Source organism: Homo sapiens, chromosome 18, assembly GCF_000001405.40.
Source record: "Homo sapiens chromosome 18, GRCh38.p14 Primary Assembly".
Classification (NCBI taxonomy): Eukaryota; Metazoa; Chordata; class Mammalia; order Primates; family Hominidae; genus Homo; species Homo sapiens.
The window spans coordinates 25,336,047-25,354,069 of NC_000018.10; the positions used below are offsets into that span (position 1 = coordinate 25,336,047).

At 41.5% G+C, this 18,023-nt stretch overlaps 1 protein-coding gene across 11 annotated transcripts in view, besides 1 other annotated feature; it reads right to left on the minus strand.

Annotated features, from left to right (window-relative positions):
• Positions 1-16,120, minus strand: part of ZNF521 (zinc finger protein 521) — a 290,243-nt gene extending 274,123 nt beyond the window's left edge. For 5 of the 11 annotated variants that reach the window (XM_011525909.4, NM_015461.3, XM_017025698.3 and 2 more), the window contains exons 1-2: positions 15,959-16,120; positions 14,861-14,901 (exon numbers count right to left, since the gene is read on the minus strand). In XM_011525909.4, coding sequence (XP_011524211.1) covers positions 14,861-14,900 — 40 coding nt within the window. In that variant the 5' untranslated portion in view covers position 14,901; positions 15,959-16,120. Of the gene's footprint in view, positions 1-9,205; positions 9,302-14,860; positions 14,902-15,958 lie in introns of all 11 variants that reach the window. The other 6 variants (XM_011525911.3, XM_047437472.1, XM_024451141.2 and 3 more) reach the window with 2 other exon arrangements.
• Positions 16,146-16,215: a silencer, noted in NCBI's record as "silent region_9370". NCBI's record gives its function as "represses an Ori minimal core promoter by ATAC-STARR-seq in GM12878 lymphoblastoid cells {active_cell/tissue: GM12878}" and the evidence as "EXISTENCE:reporter gene assay evidence [ECO:0000049][PMID:35858748]".

The window sequence follows — 18,023 nt, forward strand, 5'->3', positions numbered from 1 at the left end:
AGGAAAACAATGTCAATCTGCCCCAAAATAAGGTCTCAAATAAAATTAAAGCACCGGCTAGACACAGCCAGGCATGGATGGGAGTTAACCGCCAGTCAGCAGACCATTCCTGTATTCTCCTTCCACATTCAATCTCTATACCCACATGTGCTTCTAGACAACACAGAATCTCTCTCTGAAGCCAAGAAGAAAATGCTTGTAGACAAATTTACTGATGACTGAGGTGATGCAGAAAATCATCCCCTCGTTCCACTAATTCTTTTGTAAACCCAAGCCCAGATTTATCTTTTTAATTTAAGGATTATTAATAAATCTGCTATGATTAAACTTTCATAATGATATGTGAATTATTTGTCTCCAGTTCCTCTCCCAAGAACAATTAGACTACCTTTGTAAATTAGCACTGGCCCTTTTGCAAGGAACCTAAAAGACACCAATCCGACTTACCAAAAAAAGATGGCAGAGGTGCTAAAATTAATTAGCTTCACTTTATGCTTCCATTATCTTTTAATTGGAATTTCTGCAGTAATTTTTCTTTCTTAATTCTATCTACGTTGGCAAAGCAAAGTTAGATTTTGGACTGGATCAATGCATTGGCCAGGGTGAAGGTACCTGTCGTGGCAGACTGAACTCGGCAAAGACTTTGTGAGAATCCCTCTAGCCCCCACAAAACAGGCTTCAGAAAGGGCTATGTGCTACCACACAGGTACATAAAAATTCCCAATCTTCAACCACAGCAAGAAGGAACTTTCTAGAATAGAAAAGAGTTGTATGCTATGGTGTGTACAAAAGTGAGAAAACCTTTGAGAGTAAAAAGAAACATTTACCAGGCACTTCATATCTACCAGACACTATTCTAAGAGCTTACACTAATTAACTCTTAATTCTCACAAGAGCTCTTTGAATTAGGTACTAGTAGGACCCTCATTTACAGATGGAGAAACTGTAGTACAAGGTGATTTAATAACTTTCCCAAGGTCAATCAGATTAGAATTTCAACCCAGAGAGTCTAGTTTAACACCCATGTTCTTAACCACTACACTATACTTCCCCCATTTAATAAATGTTTGCTAAGCACCTACTATATTCCCAGAAATATTCTGCGAGGTTGGGGACACAGAGATGGAGGTGGGGGAACAAGACACTGCAGCCAGTGTAATGGGGAACACAGAATGAAAAGAAAGATTAGGAAAAAATCCTTTCTATAATATGTCAGACACAAGATCTATTAGTTACAAGGGAAAGCGCTGACAATACCAAAAATAAAAATTTGGAAGTTCTGTATGGCAAAAGAGAAAAAACTACCACCCACAGAGTCAAAAGGCAAACTGGGGAAAATATTTGCAACACATAAGTCAGGCAAAGAGCTAATTTTCTTAATAATATGAGCTGCTCTTTCAAACCAGAAGATAAAAAACCCAAGGAAATAGAAAGGCAATTCACAGAAAAATAAATACAAATAGTTTATAAACAATTGAAATGATGCTCAATCTACCTCATAATTACAGCAATGCTAATTAAAATGTCAATTAAATACCAGTTTGTTTTTTCACAAGTCGCATTAGTAAGGATGAAGTATTTAAACACAGGCACTCTCTAACCCTGCTGCCAACTGCAGTGTGAATTGGTCTTACTTCTTTGGAGGGCACACTGGCGGTATCCATTAAAATTTTAAATGCACATTATCTTTAACCAGCAATTCCATTTTTAGGAATTGATCCCATGTATATAAAATCATACATATCAGCAAGAATGTATGCATGCTTCCTGCAACACAGATAAGTAACTAAAAAGAAACACCCTGATGACCAGCAGCTGGGGATGGACTAGACAACAGCCCATCATACAATGGATACTGCAAAGTCATTAGAATAAAGGGGAGAGATCATAAGTGCTTATATGGAAGGGCTGCTAGGAAATATATTTAGGAAGGAGGACAACATAGAGACCTCCCGCTTTTGTTTGGGGAAAAGAAAAAACACTCACATATATACATCACAATTTAAGATTGGCCCAGTTAGCTCCCTGGGTACATTACCCCAGCTAGCTATACTCACTGTCTCTGTCTAACCATGGAACAGATATTTAAGGAACAGTTGGAAGGGGCAACATATAATCGGCCGTCCAGAGTACCGATGCATCTCACTCTGACCTTTCTTACAGAATTACGTGGATGGTTAGGGGTTGAATTCAAACAACCTCTCATAGACTTTTGTGTGTGTGTGTGTGTGTGTGTGTGTGTGTGTGTGTGTAAACTACAATTAAGAATAAAGACAACAGAAAAGGCATAGGAAATGTGAGTTGAAAGTGGAAAAAAGTGCTAGTAGACATATTACTGTTTTCACAATCTTTCACAGTTTTTCTACATTTTTTTTTTAAGTTTTGAGATGGGGTCTCACTCTGTCACCCAGGTTGGAGTGCAGTGGCGTGATCTCGACTCACTGCAACCTCCACCTCCCAGGCTCAAGTGATCTTCCCACGTCAGCCTCCCAAGTAGCTGGGGCCACAGGCATGTGCCACCACGCCAACTAATTTCTTATATTTTGGTAAAGATGGGGATTCACCATGTTGCCCAGGCCTGTCTCGAACTCCTGAGCTCAGGCGATCCCCCCGCCTCAGTCTCCCAAAATCCTAGGATTACAGGTGTGAGCCATTGCGCCCAGTCATTTTCTTTTTAATTACAGAATATACTAATGAATTGTTGATGCACTATCACAGTTTAGTATTTACTAACCTCCTTGATGTGAAAATTGTGCTAAGAATTTACAAAGATCATAAGCAGAAACATAATTAGATGACTAACATATATTTTCCTAAATAGCTAAGACATAAAATAGAGAACAGTTGTTAAATTGTCTCACAATTCCAGAATGAGTGAGTTGATCAAGTATTTAGAGAGCATTCTAAGGATTAAAACAAACCCAGATATTTGAAAGTTAACAGACTTAGGTAATGGAAAACTCAATGAATGTAGCTGTAGGTAGTTTACTTAGAATGGGAAAACCAGGCCCACAATTAAAATATGGCCAGAACTTGCACAGAAGTGAGCCATGTGCCAATGACACAAAAGGAATACCATTTGTGTGAACTGAAAGAACACTATTGTTGTAAAACTAAGTAAAATCTAAAGTTAACATTATGAGAGACACAAAGAGGCACATAATATGTCTTCATAGACTGTTAGTTCCATGAAACCCATGAGCAGTTGGGTCTGACTGGTTCCATATTGTCTCCCTAGAACCTGACACATACTTGGTGCTCAATAAAAAATCCTTTAGAATGCATGACCATGTTCAGTATCTTTCATTCGAAAACATATGAAACTTCAGGATTTGCTTGAAAGCGCTTCCTCCAGAATCCTTCCCTGACCTCACTGATATCGCTGTTAAATAGTCTCATTAACATCGGTGCTGTCCCTTCACAGGAATGGAAATTACTAGCATCTTGTTTATTTAATATGTTTCCACTGTTTGATCATAACTCTACCAGGATATAGACAATATGTCTCCTTCATAGCATTCTCAACTGCTAGCACTCTTAGACTGCTAAATGACTGGTAAAACACAGTAAATATTTGTTAATTAATCAACTGGCTGAATTAATGCATTTGTTTGTGTGTCTACATTTGTTTGTCTACATTGTAGGTTACGGGGATTCAAAGAAAAGGGACACCAAACTGTTCTCAAAAGGCTTATAGAGAAACCAGGAAATGAAGTGCCACAACTTCTTTGACATATGGGGTATAAGGGAATAACAGAGATGGGTCACTTTAAGTTAGGTGGGTCGGAAAAAGCCTCTCACAAGATGTGAGATGAAAACAATATTCAAGCCTTTATCATTACAACACCGACTTGAAAATCCACAATCTAAGCCTAGAAGAGATTCAAAGTGAAGCCATGGACATCACTAAAGGTTTGGGACATGCTGCTGCAGGAAAAGAATACCAGCATTTGGGCAAATAGATGAACATGAATTGAAGGTGGCTAGTCAAACTAAATTAAAATGCTGTCTTTAAAGCAACACACTTTGGTAGGTTGTGGTGGCTCACGCCTGTGATCCCAGCACTTTGGGAGGCCAAGGTGTGGATCACTTGAGGTCAAGAGTTTGAGACCAGCCTAGCCAACATGATGAAACCCTGTCTCTACTAAAAATACAAAAATTAGCCAAGCGTGATGGTGCGCACCTATACTCTCAGCTACTAGGGAGGCTGAGGTGAGAGGATCGCTTGAACCCAGGCAGTGGAGGTTGCAGGGAGCCAAGATAGCACCACTACACTCCAGCCTGTGTGACAGAGTGAGATTCCATCTCGAAAAAATAATAATAATAAATAAATAAATAACAAAATCAAACAACACACTTTGACCTTGGCTCAAATGTTTTGGACGGCCAAAGGTAAATGGGTGGTCTTGATAAGAAATCACAGTGGAAAGTAAGGCTGTCCAAACTGCGTTTGGAAATTTTTGCCAGTCTTTGATTTTGTTCCATCAGCTATAACTCAGTCAAGTTCACAATTTGAAAGTATGTTTGCCCCATTAATATGAATTATTGATCAACTTGCAAGAATCACAATTTCTCAACATAAGAATTCTAGGATGTTGGAGCTACAAGGGAACTCAGAAGTCACTGAGACCTTTTTTTTGACTGTTAAGAAATGAAGTGATACTGATTCCACTGAAGTTTATTGAGCACTTAGTATAGGGCAGGCAACTGGCTAAGGACTCTCCTAGCCTAGGGACACAGGGACAAAGATAGAGATAAAAAGCCACCATAGAGGTCTGCCAGCCCATCACACTCATACTGGGTTTTAAATATGCAAATCGGCAAGTATAAAAAACAGCTACCTTTAACAGGAGCTATAAAATGGTGTTATTATCTTGTAATGGTTTTATTTTGAAGATTAAAAATTTGGTATAATGATGCAATAGTTATGTAAATGACCTATATGATGTTGGAGGAGGCAAAAGGGATTTCATGTTGATCATCTTTTTCTTCGGTCAGTTACACTCCCCACCATCACCATTCATTCCAGTGCTCACATCTTTGAACACGAAGACCATCAAGACACCCAATATCATTATCCTTAAATTGTCTCACTTAAGATCCATGATTCAGTAAAAGTTTATTTCAAAGCATTCACCTATCTCTCAGGGGAAAAATAGTCAAACCTGCACACTATGGACTTTTTAGTACCGACTTGCTGCATTCCCTAGTGTTCTACGCCTGCACATTTAATGGAATAAGTTCCTTGCAACTTCTTTCACCTCAATTTTGTATAGCAGGGATTCCTAACTGAAGTTTAGTTTTGCTGTTTTTTAATATGAACATCATACACATTCTCCAAGAACCTCCAATCACTTTAAAGGATGCCTTAAATTCTTTAAACAATTTAGAAAATTAATTAGCTTCACCATTGCACGATTAACTTTCAAAAATGTTATCCAGAACTTTTAGGAGGGGTAAAAGATATTGCAACATCACTGACCTAAGTACAAAAGAGTGGGAAGTAAAAGTTCTATATATTGTGCTTAGTTGTTTCAGTTCAAGTGGACATATTTCCCTTTAGATTATAAGAGAAAAACAAAGCTAGCAATTCTTAAAAAGTATAGTTCATCAAACTTTCGGTGCCAAAAATGTTTTTGAGACTCATTTTGTCTAACTGCTTCATCTGACCCAACTCACAGAAAAAGTTAACATACCATACACACGTACGTCCTTCTCCTCACCTGCAGAGCTTTCTTCCAAAAACTAAAAAGCAATGGAAAGTATGTAGACTCTCATCCAGTTTTCTAGACTATAAGCTCCATAAGAGCAAGGCTTATATATCTGTTTGGTTCACAGCTGAATCCTCAGAACTTAGTACAGTGCCTGGGATAAGACGGGCATCAAAAACCAAAACACAACAAAACAAAAACCCCCAGAACTTGTTAAATGATGAATAAGCTTCCTCATTTTAGTGACAGAAAGTCTAAATCCTAGAGTACAGAGGGTAAATGGCTTGCCAAAACACACAGCAAATCAGAGTATGCCCCCGTGCTCTTCCTGCTCTGCAACCATTTCCCTACAAGCACTAGTATCCAAGTCACAATACTTATGACCATAACTGTTTGTTTTTATTTTCAACTCTTTCCAGGAATTAATATGCACTCCCTTGAGCCCACAGTTCTTCTTAACCCTTGCCTCATGTCTGCAAAACATCATACAACTTTGCAAGTTGCACACTGACAACCCCAAACCCCCCTATGTATAGGAACTTCAGACTCCATACATCAGCATTCAAGCAATGATTCTGTTTTGGCTTCATTAGTACTTGGTAGATCAATGTTTGTGAAGACTTTACAGCCTTTTTCCTTTTCTTTCCTTTGTTTTTTTTTTGTTTGTTTGTTTGTTTTTTTTGAGACAGAGTCTCGCTCTGTCGCCCAGGCTGGAGCCCGGAGTGCAGTGGAGCCATCTTGGCTCACTGAAAGCTCCGCCTCCCAGGTTCCCGCCATTCTCCTGCCTCAGCCTCCCAAGTAGCTGGGACTACAGGCGCCCGTCACCACGCCCGGCTAATTTTTTGTATTTTTAGTAGAGACGGGGTTTCACCGTGTTAGCCAGGATGGTCTCGATCTCCTGACCTCGTGATCCGCCCGCCTCGGCCTCCCAAAGTGCTGGGATTACAGGCGTGAGCCACCGCGCCTGGCCTTCTTTTTCTTAATGTATAAAAGTAATCAATGAAAGACAAAAGGTGCTGATAGTGGTAATAAAAAGCATATGTCTGATAAACTTAACACAACTAAGACAACCTAAATCATTAGGAATGCTGAAAGCAATTAATATGTAGTCTTATTCAAGCACTAACTGGACCTAATCTGGCTCTATTGTGAAAGATAAGAATATTAGCTAAGAACACGTATGAAATGCTGGAAATTGTTTCTTGAAGTCAATATAAAGTTTAAAGCACAGTGATATTTTTTAGATTCCAGGTCACAGAAACTCCTATAATATGGCAAGTTATAGTTTACTGTGTGGACTGTTCACCTCACTACAGGTTTCAACAAATGTATTTTGTATGAATATATGGAACTGTCTGTAATCAATGAGGATTTTGTCCCTATCAGGTAAATAAGTTTCCATCTTGACATATCATATCCTTCACAGTATACTGATGGGATAATAAATTTTGAGAAAAAGCCAATCATAAGATGGAAAGAGAAGGTAATAAAGTCAGTGAAATAATGAGACTCAATGATACGCTGATTTTAATTTCAAAAAGGAAATCTTATTCTTTGACACCAATTTTAATTGGAAAAAAATCCAATTTTTCCCTTAAAACATTATTAACACTTATATGGACTTACTAAACAAAGTGCATTTCCTACAGAAGGTTTAGAGTATGTTTCCGTGTATATAGACTATGTATGTGTGTGTCACAATATGTTGTGATAACTGAGGGACGTAAACTCTTGGGTTTCACATATACAAAAAAATTATCATAACCAAAATATTGAAATATAAATCCAACAAACTGCACTATTATGAAAACAAATATTCTGAATGTCAATCACTTGACCTTGCTCAGATTGGGAGAGCTATGATCATGCGGGAATAGTATATATGCTTTCCAAACCAAATCATCTTTATTTAAAAATAAGATTCAAAATGAACACGTACCTAACACATACACACATAAAAATGACAGGCATACACATTTTTTTTCTTTTCAGGATTTTTCAAAGCATTTACTATCCCATAGAATTAAAAGAGATGCTGCCCCAAAATAATAATTTTTAAACTTAATCTTTTTTTAAAAAGTGTTCTAAGAAAGGGGAGTTTTTACACAGTCATATTGGAATCTAAATTTGTTTAATGACCAAATTATAAACCTCTGCAATCTGACAACTAGAGTAGAAATACTAACTATAGTATGTGCTGCCATAATAATGATACCCACAAGATCAGCCCAGTGCTTGTAGCTGTGGCAGGGTCCCCAGGCAGCAGGATAACTGCTGCTTGATCATTATCCCTGCTAAAACTGAAGCTACTGAAGTTTTAAAGAATTCATATCTTACTGAATTTCTTTCATCTCTAATAATTACTAAACTGGCATAATTACTTATACTAGAGGTGGAATGTGATGCATGCTAAAAGCCCAAGGTGCCTAAAATTAAAGTTTTTTATTAAAAAAAAAAAAAAAGCTGCGATTCTACTTAGTTTTCAGAGATTTATCTTGTGTCGGGCTTTTTATGCCAGGAGTTGCATAATTATTTAAACCATTTAAAAGCTTTCCTTACACTATTTGATTAATACTATAACAGAGCTATTTAAATTTACTAATGTTAACTTTAATGTTTAAGTTTTAATTGCTTTGTAATAACACTGTTGCAGAACATATTTTAAATCAGACAAGTACGCTTTCACTACAACAAACAAGGTATATGCAATCCTAGCACCATGTAGTCCCCAAACAAAAAACAGGAACATTTCAGATTTAATTGAAATGGAATTAGAAAGTTGCATGCATCTCCCCCACCCCTAGAACTAACTTTAACCTTTGACAGCACAACAGGAGTCAATGAAGAAAAAAATTAAATACATCTGGGAAAATACTTAGCTACAGGTTTGACGTGGAATATCAGCCTTTGTATCAAAATCTCATTCAATTCAAAAGCATTCTTTCACATCTTACTTAATGATAATATTTACATTTTTAATGATGCAGACAGCTGCTAAAATAAACAAATACTGCAAGTCTTAAAATCACTTTCCCTCTTAAAATTAACTGAAAAACTGAACATAGTATCCATTAAATCCAGCCATGAGGAATGTATTCTGTGGCAACAGAATTAATGACAGTAAACCAGCAATGTGAATCCTGACAGATGAATTAATAAAACACATTAATAGGAAAAAGAGACCCTTAATAAAATTCTTAATTGATCTTAGTAGACCTACTCTTTTCTACTATCAAAACCTCTTTCTTCTTATTACATGCTTTTACATCAAAATGAAAACTCAAGCAAGTATACTTAATAATATGCTTCAACTTATGTCAACAAGTATTTAACTAGAATTTACCAGACTAACGAGCCCTCACAAACAGACTCCTTTAAAAATAGAGGGAGGCAGGTACAAATGTTCCTCTAAGGTGAAAAGAAATCTCCTACAAATATGCTACGAGTCTTGCACTAGACCAAATAAGCAAGTACAAAGAACTAAGTATAATTACCGGAAGCAAAAAGTTGAAAAATTCTGTCATCACTGTTAGACGTCACTGCTGTCAGTAAGGATAACTACAGTGGTTTTTAAAGGATATGGAAATACTCTGGCAAAACAAAAAAGAAAAATTATTAACAGCTTGCTTTATAAAAGGCTGCTTGCTAATCTCAAATCCCTTTGTAATTTCATTTTTACATGTATGCTTTTATGTTCAGTATCCTATTTTTTGTCCTTTTTTGGCTGGATGAATAAAAGACAACAATCCACTCATGCATAAAACAGATGTTTTTGTTTTTAAGGCCAAGTGGAATCTTATGAATTTGTGTGCCCTCACTTTAGGAAGATGCTGCCAGAAGTGCTGAAATCGTGAAACCGGCGTTTTGGAAGAGACTCACTGGACCATCAGTTCTGGAACTTTGACTAGCACTCATGGGATCCTTGCCAACTGTAATTGCTGTTTTTGTTTATGTCGGATTGTCTACTGATTGGACTATAATGAATTTAATGACTTCAACATCTAGTCAGTATAATTTAAAGGTGGTGGAGGGAAGAAACAGTCACTGGTTGATAGATAAATAGAAGAACATTTGCAAGTGTCTGAAGGAGTATGGATGTCAAACACTGTTTGAGCTTCTGCAGTGTTTCCAATAATCAGGCTTTTTAGCATACAAGTCCAAAAGTAAAGCATACATTTCTGTATGCCAATTAGTATTTTTGCCTGTACAATCATGAAAAAAAATCTCTCTCTCTAATTTGTGTGTGTATGTATCTTTTCTTATTTTTTAAAAAACTTACCTTAGGTTAAAATCTAATCATGAAAAAAGGGAGTCACAACCTATCTAAAAATAATTTTGAGGGAAAGCCATATTGCAATTCTTAAAAGCAAAGCACTGCACTGTCTTAAAACAATTACCTTTACACACAAACTTGGGGGCTTTTTTTTTCTAATTATGTCATCATTTCCAAAATCAAAACTCAATCTTTACTGATGAGGTTTTTTTTTGTCTAAGAAATGAAACATATGAAATATAAGAGAAACACTTTTTTTTTGGTTATACTTCACCTGTCTACCCGTAAGTATATATATTTTGACTTTGAACATAAGAGAAAAAAATGTGTTTAAATAAGGACTGCAGAGTTTAATGTTTCTATTAAATTTCAGGGCCAGTACAAGCTCCCTGAGGTGGCTTTTCTAACACCTACAATTTTTAGAGCTTTTCCACTAGAGAATACAGCCTAATACACAGGTTTTCTTACTTTCAAAAGGTTTCAGGCTTAAAATCCATTGCCTTTACATTCAAATTCTATAGTTTACATTTCTTCTTTAAATTGCAGACTAAGTTTTGCCACTCTATTACATTTCTAAATAAATTACTCTACTCAAAAATAAAATAAAATAAACCTTCCTAAGTACAAAAGAAGGTAAATGGGGGAAAGGTCAATCACAAGTGTGATAACTTCAAAATGTGCCAAGTTACAAAGGGTTAGCTACTGTGACGGCCAAGTTAAACAAGGCACTTCTGGGGCTCTCTTTCTCCCTGGTTCCCACCACTCCTCTCCAGAGGTCCCTGGTATGGGTTTATGAACACCTGAGGGTTCAGATATCCTAATTGTGTCTTGTGTTTAACTTGGCCATCTAAATGACTAAGTGCTCCCCTCTCTCCTTCCCAGCTTTATAACTTGGCTCTTACTGAATATATCACACCTTTATATAGTGGACCACTTTTTCCTTTTTACAGTGCTTTTTGGAGTAAATTTCAAAAAAAAATTGTTTGTTATTAGGTAAAATGGCCGAGAAACTTCCATCAGAGAGGCACCACAAGAAAGAGAATAAATAGCCAGCAAGAAAAATAGAAATAGGTCACAATTGACCAATTTGATGCAACTGATTTGCTGCCTCTAAAAATAAGCTGACAGGAGAACTATTTTGAGTCAGGTAATCTACTCAAGTACCATGTCTACTCTCAGGAATTGAGACAAATATCCAAATAATATAAATGGGGCAGAAAGAGTGACTCATTTAATTGTCTGTCCATCCATGCCTCTAATAACTGGCTTCAATTCTCTATTTCATTAAATAGAAGGGGTTATCCAGAAGATTCGTACCATAAGGACAGAATAAGTTTGTCAACTTTGTATGTGGGCTGATAGAATTTTGATGCTAGGGCTTTGAAAGGCAGGAGGGGTAAAGGAGTTCCATGTTTCAAAATATATTTCCAGCTTTTACAAATAGAAAAGTGAATCTTTTCGGTGTTTAACAGGTTTAATGTACTTTAGAGGAGGTAAGTAGACCAACCAGGACCTGCTCCACTGAAGCTAGAAATATGGTACCTACTCTCAGGAGATGGATTCTTAGGACAATTACACTGAAGTTTCCTACAAACAAAAAACCCAGCATACTTTTTCAAGTAAACATAATTATTCCTTCAGGGTACTAAATTATGAGAATTCACACAATAAATTCAACTGTTAATAGAAATGTCCTGGTAATCTGTATTTTTAAGCATTTGGTTGAAAATACAGACTCCAAACCTAACTGACATTGTGTCTTCATGTTTTTATCTGCCTTAGGTAAATGACTTTCCTGAGATACAAGTTTCAAATTATATCAAATTGACAGTCATGTCAGCAATATCTTTTACATCTTGTTGGTTAAAGTACTAGTATGCATGTAAGACAGAAGTTGGAAATTCAGTGCAGAACTTCATGTTTTATTTAGAAGGGCCTATTGCATTTTCATGGTTTCCAATGCCTCCTTCAAGTTGGCTATAATCTACATGGTTTTGAAATACTGTCACTCATCTAATAAAATCAGACTTTTTATCTTTTAATTGCAAACCTATTAATCAGTTATTCATAAATGAAGAAACACAACAGGACTGCCTTTCTATACCTGCTGATAGCAAAGTGTTGTTCACTGCATATTACTACTAATATGATACCAGAACACAGGTCATAATAACACCTCTCTGGCTTTTCTATGATCCAAGTGTGACCTTCTGAATGATATAATGGACAATCCGCATACTCAGAACACTCCTACAACACATTTTGAAAAATTGGAGACCCTTCCAAGAAGACATAGGGAAATCAAAATACTGAAGAGAAGGCTAGGTATTTAACAAGAGCCACCCAGAATGCCCTTCCTCTTCTTCAAAACCGCTACTAATATCAAAATGATTCGTTTGGTATAGCTCATCTACATATGAATTTTTCAAGGCATACCCTGAAGAAAAACAATCCGCTCTTCAGTGAGGACTGTACTATTTTTATTCCTGTCTTCAGCTTCTCATCCCCAAAAGCCCAGCCAGCCCACCTGAGGCCATTCGCTCTTTTGGGAGTTGTCCAAGCAGCTGATAGGAGAGAACAGCACTGTGTTCCGCGCCCACACAGAATATGGAAGCTAAATCTTTGTTTTTAGTGTAAATATTTTATTTAGAATTTAGCAGTTGAAACAGATGCTGTCTTTGTGGGGAAGATATTTGGATAATTTTGCAACATGACGATAAAAGAATAAAATGTCCTCTTTACTCATTCTTCACTTGCCATTTTTTGCTTATTAACCTAAGAACTGCACAGGTATTTTGCAGTTCGACTTATCAAACCTGCCCAGCGAATACCGTCAACTGACGGATTCCCTTTACTGCCCATAAAATCCTACGTGCATGAGAAGAAATCATCTTCAGGAAGCACTGGGAACAAACGCATTCACAGTCAACCAAACTTTCGCTGTAAATTCACTCCAAAAGCAGGTGAACCAAATGCTCAGAAGCTGCGAGTGAACAAAACTGCCAATCGTGCAAACTTTAATAAACTTTTTTTTTTTTGAAAAGAAAAATCCCTCCCAAATTCCTTCACGGGGTTTCAGAAGCTTCTTGGAGCCCTTTCCACCGGACAGGCACTAACCGCTATCCTACTTCAACTCGGAAAGTTCTTCTTTCCAAGTGACTAGGAAGAGGTTTGTCCTGGTACTTCGCTCAGCGTTACTTTCAAGAAAGCCGGGGTCTCGGGCAAGTCTCGCCGGCGCGAGCCTGGTCCACCGTTACCCTGACACCCGCGCACGCCCGTGGCGTTTCTTTTTTCACTGTCGACACTTGGATCTTTCAGGCCCTGGGTCTAGGTTTCCCCCAGAAAAATGAGGGGCCCATGTGACGGAAACCACCAGACACACTGTGTGGAGACACATGCCAATGATTCACCTCGTTCCCGAACTAAAACTTCTGCGCTTTAGGAAAAAAGCAAGCGTTCCAATCTGCGAGGCCCTCCCCCACCCCGTCCCTTCCCAGGAGAAGAAAGAAAGGGCTTTGTGTGTGCGGTGAGGGCTCCGTTCATCGAGTTCAAAAATGCACAGCGGCCGGGGGCCGGGAGGCGTGGGGCGCCGGGCCCTGCCCACCCCTTTTCCCCGGGCCGGCGGCGAGTCGGGAAGCTGGTGCGGGAACCGGGGCCACGGGGCGCCGCGGCCCGGCAGCCAGGAGGAAGAGGATGCTGCGCCGCCGGGGACCAGAGGGCGGGGCCGGGCCGCGCGGACCTCGGCGGGACCCAGCGGGCCCGGGCGGGCGCACCAGCCGCCCTTTGTCCTCCGCCTCCGGGTCGCGGGGGCCGCGGCCGCCTCCAGCGCTGGCCCCCTGGCCCTCGCCCCGGTTCCCCGTCCTGCCCGCGCGCCCCTCCTCCGGCCCTCGCGCTCCGCCGCCCGCCCTCCCCGCTCTCCGCCTCGGAGCGCCGGACCTCGCGGCTCCCCTCGGCCGCCCGCCCCCGATTTCCTCGGAAGGAGGCTCGCGAAGGTGGAGGAGGCGGCCGAGGAGGAGGAGGAGGCCGCCACGTGACTCTCCTCGCCACATTCCAACACAGCCATCAGATCGATAACTTCAGGGACCCCCGCCCCCGCCGCAGCCAGCTAGTGCGCCCCCAAAATCCCGCACGCACGCCCCGCAACTTCCCTCTCCAACAGGGACGACGGAGAGCTGGACCCCACCGCGAAACGCAAAGGACTCCAGGGGCGGCGGGGAGAAGTAGGGGCGAGGGGCGGTCAACTTCTGGGAATGGCCAAGAGGGGTGCTCTGAGGCCCGAGCCGGGGTCCGGTGCCCGCGGCCGGCGGCCGGGGTCTGTTTACTCCGGCGACGTGCGGAGAGGACCCAAGCAGGACGCGGGCGGGCGGGAGGCGGCGGCCGGGACCCCGGGCCACGTTTGTCACGAGCGGGGGCTGCTCCCCACCTCCGAGATGACTTTTTTCTTCTTCCAAAGAAAAGGAAAAAAGAAGCACCGCACGGTTTTGCATATTTATTCTTTGCGAAAACACACAACAGAAACTTTTTCCTCCAGCCCAGATGTAGATCTCAGACGGGATATTTTTTTTTCCTCCCTCTCCGGATAATTTCGTTTCTTTCTCTCTCTCTCTCTTTTTTTTTTTCGGTTGTTGTTGTCTTTTCTCGCCCACTTTCTACCGCCGCCCCATTCGGGGATCCTCCTCCCGTCTTCGTCTCCCCCCACCCCGACACCTCACCCTCACTCCACCTAGGGGCTCAGCGGGGAGGGGAGCGCGCGCGCCCCCGCACTCACACTCACACTCACGCGCGCACACGCCTCGCAGCCACGCAGCCCTCGCTCCGCTACCCACAGTGACACTCGCGGATGGGGGAAAGCGGGGAGCAGGGGGTTCCTCCTTACCTTTGAGGGATCTCGGTTTCGCTTGCTTGCGGCGAGACATCCTAAAAGCAAACAGCTGAAGTTGTTTCAATTCAGCCCTGAAAGAAACTATACTTCCTCGTGGCCGCGCGCCCCTCGGGCCGCGGCGCCTCGCGCCCTCCGCTCGGCCTCCCTCGCGCCCTCGCTCCGCGCTCCGCTCCTCGCTCCGGCTCCGGCTCGCGCTCGCGCGCGGGGCTCGCGGCTGCCCGAGCTCCGCGCTCTGCACGACGGCGGCGGCGGCGGCGGCGGCTGCTGCACCAAACTTTCCCAGCCTTCGACCCCCACCCCCAATCTCCAAGAAAAAAAAAAAAAAAGGAAAAAGAAAAAAGGAAAGGAGGGAAAAAAAGCTAAAAAAAAAACCCCAAAGACAATGTTTGAAGAGCCGTCAGCTACACTAAAAAGAGAAAATCCGTTACTATTTCCACCTCAATCAAAATTCACATAGTTCATGCGAATAGAAAAAAACTAATAAAAAGAAAAGCGTCTGGGTGATTTTTTTTTTCTTTACCGCTTTTCCTTTTCAACAAATCCGCCCCCCCCCCCACCGGAAAAAAACAAATAACACTGATTTGTTTACAAAGCGAGTCGTGCTCTTTTGTAGTTGGGGGGACGAGGGGGGGAAATCGACCCTGCAAGGCGATGAAAAGGTCTTGGAAAGAAAAATCTCCCACCATCCGAGGCAGATGCGAACGGGCCACGAAAATAAGCAAAGGGAAAAAAATACTTTTTTTCTCCCTTCCCCCCACCCTTTTTTTCTTAACCCACACTAAAGTAATTTCTTTCAAAAAGAAAAAGCCAAAGCACCCGAGCCGACGGCCCCCAGGTGGTGTGCGGGGCTGCTTGTGTGCAGGGGGTGTGCGGGGCCCGGGCTCGGGGCGCCCCTCTCTGGGCGGGGGCGCGGCGCCGGCGGCTGGCGCTGGACCGGGGCTCTAAAGTCTACGGCTGCCTCGGCAGCGGCGGCGGCAGCAGCGGCGGCAGCGGCGGCGGCAGCGGCGGCGAGAGCAGGAGGAGGAGGAGGAGGAGAGCCGGGAGCAGGAGGAGGAGAAGGAGTGTGCTGTGTGCTCCCTCCTCATCACAAACCTGCAAGGTCTTGGACTGCGCTGTCGCTCCGGTAGTCCACATAATAATGGAAAATGGAAGCAAGGCCCCCAAAGCCATCAGGATGGCTCCAGAGGGGGCCCCTAACCCGCAGGGACTCGCTCTGTACGTAATCACTGAGGAAATCATTGTCAGCCTGCCTGCACTCACACACAGACAGAGGGGCATGATTAAAAGGCGAGAGCGCGGGGAGCGGGAGGGAGGAGGGGGCCCGCCAAGACCCGGACTGGAGGCGCCGGCCGCGGCGCGCGGATCCGGAGCCAGGCGGCGGCCGAGCGCCCCGAGCCCCGCCCGCCGCCGCCGCCGCCGCCGCCGCCTCCCACGCGCCGCGCGCCCCGCCCGCTCCTGCGCCGCCGCCCCTCGCGCCGCCCGCCCGGCCGCTCGCACACCCCGCGCCGCCGCCGTCGCCGCCGCCGCAGCTGCGTTATTAGAGCTCCACGGCGGATCTCGGGGCTCTTCTGCTCGCTTTTTTTCCTCTTCAGAAATTAAAGCAGAGGAGCATCTGAAAGTGGAAAGGTCCCCCTTCTGGTAGGATGGATGTAAAAGGAGGCAACAATTTGTTCTTGAGGGGGCAAAAAAAAAAAAAAAAAAAAAGAAAAAGAAAAAGAAAAAGAAAGGAGGGGGGAAATTCATTGCTTGGCTTTTGCATTGTCGGACTTTAAAAAAGTGTGTCTGCTGTTGTTGCCCGGACTCGGGAAATCTTTTTTATGGCAACCGCAGACCTGCCAAGTCTCTCTTACTTGGAATCTTTATAAAGGCAAGTTATTTGGACTTTTTTTTTATTTTCTCGTTTAGAGAAAGTCATTGATGCTGACGAATGTCATAATGTGATTCAAAAGAGACAGCTTTGAGTTCACTTTTTTAACATTCTCAAATTGACATAGATCTTTGTCCAGAAAATAAAGCTTTCTGTTGATTTTTTCTTTAAGCAAGAGGTAAGGAAATATGCACTTAAGAATATGTGTACAAGAAAATAGTTTCTAAAATAAATTGAAATGTCTGCAGGTCGGTGGGAATTTTTGTTTCTTTTCGCAGTTTTGTTTTCTAACTTTTCACCTGCTCCCATCGCAAAACAAGAAACCATCACCTGTTTCCTTCTTTTACCTTATCTTAAGGGAAAGGATGTTTTAGTATTATTATTGTTGTTGCTATTTATTGATTGGACACGCTTGTCAAGTTATAAATGCCTGAGAGGGCTACCAAGTAGAGCTTAGATTCACAAGTCTTGGTGGAAATTAAGAGATTCAGAATACGGTTAATTACACAAAACAGGCAGAATTTTGTACAAATACTATTGTTCTTAATCAGATTTTAAAAATTCTCCGTTCTGTAAAATTAAGGTACAGCTATCTATTAAGCCACCATGCAAAGACATCAAAGCTTTAAGGAAGTTGTATTTTTTCCAGTCTAACCTGTAAACTGCCTGGACCCTCATGTGGATAGCTGCAAATACAGTATGTTTTTTTTCAATATCTTCATTATAATTAAATGAGTTTTCAATCCATCTGCAGTAATTCCTAAAGTGAAATCATAGTTGTAGTCAAATTTAACTTTGCATGACTGTGAAATAAAGCAACTTTTGTTGCAGAATCTGTGTTGGTACATTAAGGATTCTAGATTTTATACATAACCTTATACATTCATTTTCACAGAAATCATTCAGAAAGGGAAAAATGTGTAAACACCAAGTTTTTACAAGACTTTCCTTTCGTGTGGTAGCCATATGTGTGCAGAATACTATGGTGCCATGTATGTGTGGTCCCAAGTTATGTGTGATATTATCTAAAATATTGATGGCATCTAATCCTGGTTTTATTGGAAAGTGAAAAATTGCTAACGTAATACTAACGCGTACCCTAATTTGTTAAAGTTTTCTATATGGGTTGATTTTTTTTGTTTCTTTCTCAAAGTAGTCTACTTTGCTTTACTCTAAAATTGTTCTTTCATTTCCCAATGTTAGTATTTCTGTTGCCTTCCTCTATTAAGAGATAAATAAAACCCTTAGCTCAGAGATTTAGATCTGGCTCAAGAGCCTGATATTTCAGTT